Source organism: Homo sapiens, chromosome 11 (assembly GCF_000001405.40).
Source record: "Homo sapiens chromosome 11, GRCh38.p14 Primary Assembly".
Lineage (NCBI taxonomy): Eukaryota > Metazoa > Chordata > Mammalia > Primates > Hominidae > Homo > Homo sapiens.
In genome coordinates, this window is record NC_000011.10 from 59455483 (window position 1) to 59461568 (window position 6086).

General features: G+C 41.2%; 1 protein-coding gene across 1 annotated transcript; it reads left to right on the top strand.

Annotated features, from left to right (window-relative positions):
* The first annotated feature begins 1478 nt into the window (after positions 1–1478).
* Positions 1479–2423, top strand: OR4D6 (olfactory receptor family 4 subfamily D member 6). The gene has a single exon (NM_001004708.1). It carries the CDS (start codon positions 1479–1481, stop codon positions 2421–2423), a length of 945 nt encoding a protein of 314 aa, NP_001004708.1.
* Positions 2424–6086: the final 3663 nt, after the last annotated feature.

Genomic DNA, 6086 nt, shown 5'->3' on the forward strand with positions numbered 1-6086 from the left:
TCTGATTTGGGAAAAAGAAGTATCAATATAGTAAATTGCTATTATATAGCAATAGTAGAATATCCCTGGAATTTGAGTCAACAAACCTGTTTACAGTTCTCTATATTTCACCAATTCAAACTCTGATTCTGAAAAAAATAAATGTCCTTCTCTAGTCACTTCTAAAGTAAGAAACATTAGACTAATTTATCTCTGAAGTCCTGTGACGCTCTAATGATCAGTTTTTCTGTGATACTAAAACATGCCCTGAACAATGACTGTGGCTCTATACAAAGAGCCCTGTGTGTCAATAGCAAGGTCCAGGCTTCCCAGAGTGCCAAAGAGGAGTACTTATGAGGGCCTGACCCTTCTCTTTTTATAAGGGATGAGATAAGGATTAGGTAGTCAAACTACTTAATAAACTGTTTAAGCCTTATATACACACTAGAATTCCGGTAAGCCAAAGTAAGCCCCAGACTCTCTGATTTCTCAGAGTTGTACAGTGGAAAAACCTCTGGAGACTGTTATGTTAAAGAAAAATTATTCACCAGACAATTATTAAAGACAGGAAGATAGATTTCATTTAAAACTCTTGCAATAGAAGAAAAAGATTGAGCTCAACTCGAAATATAGTGAAAACAAGTGAAGATTTATAAGCAATGAGCAGAGTGAGGGAGGTCAGTGGATTGAAAATTACTAAGAAGTGATATCAAAGGTAGGGTGGTTCTTGCTAAACTGGCATAAAAGAATTCTTGCTAAAGACTGGCCAAGGACTTAGATATTGAGGGTGAGGGATGAGGTTAAAAATAATAAATATATAAAAGGGTAAGGGGTGAGGAATTTGATTAGATTTCAAGGGTGTGGAATTCTCATTAAACTGACTTGGCAAGATTCCTGTTAAAATTGGGCTCAGCAAAGACAGACACAGAAGGTCAAGGTTGAGTCATAGTCAAGAAAAGGGCTCAGAGGAGCCTAACCAACATTTGGTCAAGGAGGGAATCTTTCTCAAGTCAGGAGATTGATTTGTATTTGAATCCTCAATTTACAATTCACTAATTTTGCGACTATGCAGATGTAAGTCATTAACTGCTGTAAAGCTTCAGTTTCCCCGTATATAAAATGGAGATAACCATACTAAAGACTCTTCAGAAACTTCATGAGAATTGAAATCAGTATGAGCTATTGCAGGTGAAAGCCCTTGGTAAAGCATAGGCAAATGGCCATAGTCCATCCATCTCTCTCTGGTCAGAGTGAGGATACAGACATGTGATGGTTTTTTCCTGTTAACCCAAGGTATTTACAATAAGAAAGAAGAACCATATGAAAGAAGAATTTCCAGACCACAAAGAGAAGACTGGCCCAGTTTTTCTGTGTAGTCATGATGACCTGGATGCTTGAGAGCAGTATGTGATCAATGATTTTGCCACCTCATGTCACCATAATCCAAGTTCTAACATATCTTCATCAAAGGTAGGACCTGGAAGAGAGTCATCCCCATCATGGACCAGATCAACCACACTAATGTGAAGGAGTTTTTCTTCCTGGAACTTACACGTTCCCGAGAGCTGGAGTTTTTCTTGTTTGTGGTCTTCTTTGCTGTGTATGTAGCAACAGTCCTGGGAAATGCACTCATTGTGGTCACTATTACCTGTGAGTCCCGCCTACACACTCCTATGTACTTTCTCCTGCGGAACAAATCAGTCCTGGACATCGTTTTTTCATCTATCACCGTCCCCAAGTTCCTGGTGGATCTTTTATCAGACAGGAAAACCATCTCCTACAATGACTGCATGGCACAGATCTTTTTCTTCCACTTTGCTGGTGGGGCAGATATTTTTTTCCTCTCTGTGATGGCCTATGACAGATACCTTGCAATCGCCAAGCCCCTGCACTATGTGACCATGATGAGGAAAGAGGTGTGGGTGGCCTTGGTGGTGGCTTCTTGGGTGAGTGGTGGTTTGCATTCAATCATCCAGGTAATTCTGATGCTTCCATTCCCCTTCTGTGGCCCCAACACACTGGATGCCTTCTACTGTTATGTGCTCCAGGTGGTAAAACTGGCCTGCACTGACACCTTTGCTTTGGAGCTTTTCATGATCTCTAACAACGGACTGGTGACCCTGCTCTGGTTCCTCCTGCTCCTGGGCTCCTACACTGTCATTCTGGTGATGCTGAGATCCCACTCTGGGGAGGGGCGGAACAAGGCCCTCTCCACGTGCACGTCCCACATGCTGGTGGTGACTCTTCACTTCGTGCCTTGTGTTTACATCTACTGCCGGCCCTTCATGACGCTGCCCATGGACACAACCATATCCATTAATAACACGGTCATTACCCCCATGCTGAACCCCATCATCTATTCCCTGAGAAATCAAGAGATGAAGTCAGCCATGCAGAGGCTGCAGAGGAGACTTGGGCCTTCCGAGAGCAGAAAATGGGGGTGAGCAGTCAGATGGAGAGTGGAAGTCTGTCTGACTTAGTTTTCTCAAAATGCTAGCCTAAGAGTAACAGGTCGCTAGCTCTTCTTCCACTACTTCATTGTATATCTTCATAGCCGCTCGATTCTATTAGCGGGAGTATACAAACAAAAAGAAGAAATGAGATTAAACAATGTGAGCTATCGAGCTTGTGGACTCAGGAGAAGAAGAGGGTATAAGGTTGAAATCAATACCCTAAATGCTTTTTGGTGTTACCTGTGACTCATACCAACACTTATCTCACTTTTAGCACCAGTAATATGGAAATATCATTACTTGCTCACAAGTTTGTCAAAAGAATGAAATGTGATCAATGCTGTGAGGATGATAGTTGTGAAGGTTAGTACTGCTCCTGGCATTAATCAGGTATTCAATCAACATTCCCTATTACCTACCCCTCTCTTCCTAAATGTGCATATACACAGAATATAGACACATTTATTTCATATATGCTTTCTCTGGTGACTCTGCTATATCCAGTCAATTATTGAAATCACTTGATTTTATTTTATTTTATTTTATTTTATTTTATTTTATTTTTTTGGGACGGAGTCTTGCTCTGTTGCCCAGGCTGGAGTGCAGTGGCGCGATCTTGGCTCACTGCAAACTCCACCTCCTGGGTTCACGCCATTCTCCTGCCTCAGCCTCCTGAGTAGCTGGGACTACAGGCGCCCGCCATGACGCCCGGCTAATTTTTTGTATTTTTAGTAGGGATGGAGTTTCACCATTTTAGCCAGGATGGTCTCAATCTCCTGACCTCGTGATCCACCCGCCTCGGCCTCCCAAAGTGCTGGGATTACAGGCGTGAGCCACTGCGCCTGGCCTTGATTTTATATTTTAAGTACAGAATCTTAAGTATATTTCACCAATTAGTGAAAATGGAAGGAATATTTTAAACTGTAAGTCAAATATGTACATGGACAAATTTATACATGGACCAAGTATTTCCTGTTCTCAGGTCTAGTCTACTGATTTACCAGCTGAAATTAAAAAGATGCTTGTATAGTTTTGGTACATACATGCGCAGAGACAATTTTTTTTATGTTAACCTGAACTTCCTTTTCTTCTTTATACCCTCCTTACATTTCACCCTCAGGGCTTTTATGACTGGAATAAAACCGTAGTTTTTGTTTATGTATGGGTAGACAATTCAAGACAAATCATGGTGGTTCAAGAAAACAAAACCTGTCTAATAAATACACTTTATGCCTTCATGGCCCACTTTTTGTTCCAGGAGAGAAAAGAAACACATTGTATTCGGGGTCATTTGGGAATAGCCACTGGGTCTGTGTTAGAATCCACCTCTCTCTCAAGGGAAGGATTCCAAGAGAGTAGATATCTAAAGACAATGAATCCTCCTTCTTCCTCTATACTCACCTCAAATCCACCCTTCAGCCTTCAACAGTCATTCAAAAATTATCCAAGAGAAGTAAGGAAGCTCAAGAAATTGCAACACATTGAAAAAAGTTTTGCGAGGTACCAAACTGTTATAACGCATTAATATTTGGCCAAGAAGATCCTAGTAGTTGACATACATCCATGATCCTCCCTGAGTCCTACAAGACAGAGATATTGAGCCAAGACTCCGCATCAGCTCCCCCTGCAGCCCCAAGGGCCTAGAGTCGCAGCTACTCATGGCAAAAGGATCATTTGAACCCAGGAGTTGGAGACCAGCTTGGACAATACTGCAAGACCTTGTTTCCACACACACAAAAAAAATTATTAGCCCCCTCAGGGAGCTTTATTCGCTATTTTTCCTAATTGCTCCCTTATGAGGAAATTCAATACCAAAAATATACTGTATATATTTATGTGTACTGAGGCCATACATCATTGTAATATATAAGTTTTGTTGCTCCCCTGAGAACAAATTGTCTCTTTGGGCATGTCAGGCTCTCATTGAGTATGAATGATTATATGACATTAGATGTTTCCAGAGACCAATATTTCCCCAAAACTCAGAGAATCACAGAATAGGTAGATTCATGTCCATGTGTTCTGGGGCCTTGCAAGAATTTAGAAAGCAGAGAAACGGCATCCTTGTGCGTGTCTGTGTGTATGTATGTGTGTGTGTGTGTGCATATGTGTGGACTTGCTTGCAGTAATAACTTGGAAACTGTTTAATAACTCCCTCTGGAACTCTGACACTACCAGAAGAATGCCCATTCTATTTCCACACTCACATCCAATAAAATTTCCTTTGCTAATTCTCATATTAGGCCTGAGCCTGAGACATTAGTGCACGTAGCAAGGACATTTTAAGCCAAAGAGAAGAGCCAACAATGATGTAACTCTCTTAGTCAGCCCTTTCCAACATGAAGGCTGAAGAGAAGACATTGAAATCTGGTATAATTTATTTTCAGGAGGACTTTGCCTTCAAGCACCATATTTCCCCACCATTATATATGCTGAGGCCCAGCTACCCAGTCTCAGATGGTGTAAATTCATGTTGGACACTGAAGGATTTAGGTAAGAATATTGAACTGTCAGAGTGTGAGATATTATGGATTATACATGAATATGATGAGCATGAAAAATGTGTCAAGTGTCTAAGATATGGCAAAAATAGTTGAAAACTTTAGCAACAGGAAACCAAAAAAAAATGGATGTTAAACACCGGGAAATAAGTAATATCTTCATGGAAAGGAACCACAGCAATGGGGTCAGCATAATAAAAGAGAAGGCAGTTTGTATTTGATAGAAAAATAGACCAGGCAGTGGCTCACATCTGTGATCCTTTGAGAAGCTGAGATGAGCAGATTGCCTGAACTCAGTTGAGAGTTCAAGACCAGCCTGGCCAACATAGTGAAACCCCATCTCTACCAAAAAACACAAAAAATTAGCCAAGCATGGTGGCGCACCCCTGCAGTCCCAGCTACTCAGGAGGCTGAGGCACGAGAATTGCTTGAACCCGGGAGGCAGAGGTTGCAATGAGCAAAGATCACGCCACTGCACCCCAGCCTGGGCAGCAGAATGAGACTCTGTCTCCAAAAAATAAATTAAAGTAAAATAAAATACAATAAGAAAAAGAAAGGAGCAGATTTTGTTTCAGTTTAGGGTTTGCCCATGAGGATCATGAAGCTCTTTCTACCAAATAGGTGCTTCCTTAAAAAAAACATGACTTTAACCTCAAATTCCCTTAACAACTGTGAAGGTTTCAAAGTCAGCTCCATATGCATACTTTGCCCATGGCTCACTGGGTGTCATTTCTCTTTGATTTGGTGACAGCCTTAGTCCCAAACCCATTCACCCAGTGCTGAAGCCTCGGTTCCACTCGGTCAATTCACACATGTTCACTGAAACAAAAATAAGCAAGCTGATTCAAAGAGAAGCTGTCCTTTCACAGAATAGCATTTTACATTTTGCAAATGTCTTCATAAATAACCTTTCATGATAGGCAGGAAAGATTTGGTTTTAGGAGAAACGGAAAGGAACCAAGTTAACTGAATGCCTACTACTGAATGACGGGTACTTTACAAATACTACCTCATTTACTCCTTATGCTACCTAACAAAGTGTTATGCTTCCCAGTTTCCAGAGGAGTAAACTAAAGAAAAATAAAAGATTTGTCGAGGTAACAAAGTAGGAAGAGACAGAATTCCAACCCCAGTGTGCCCTACTCCAAAGCTC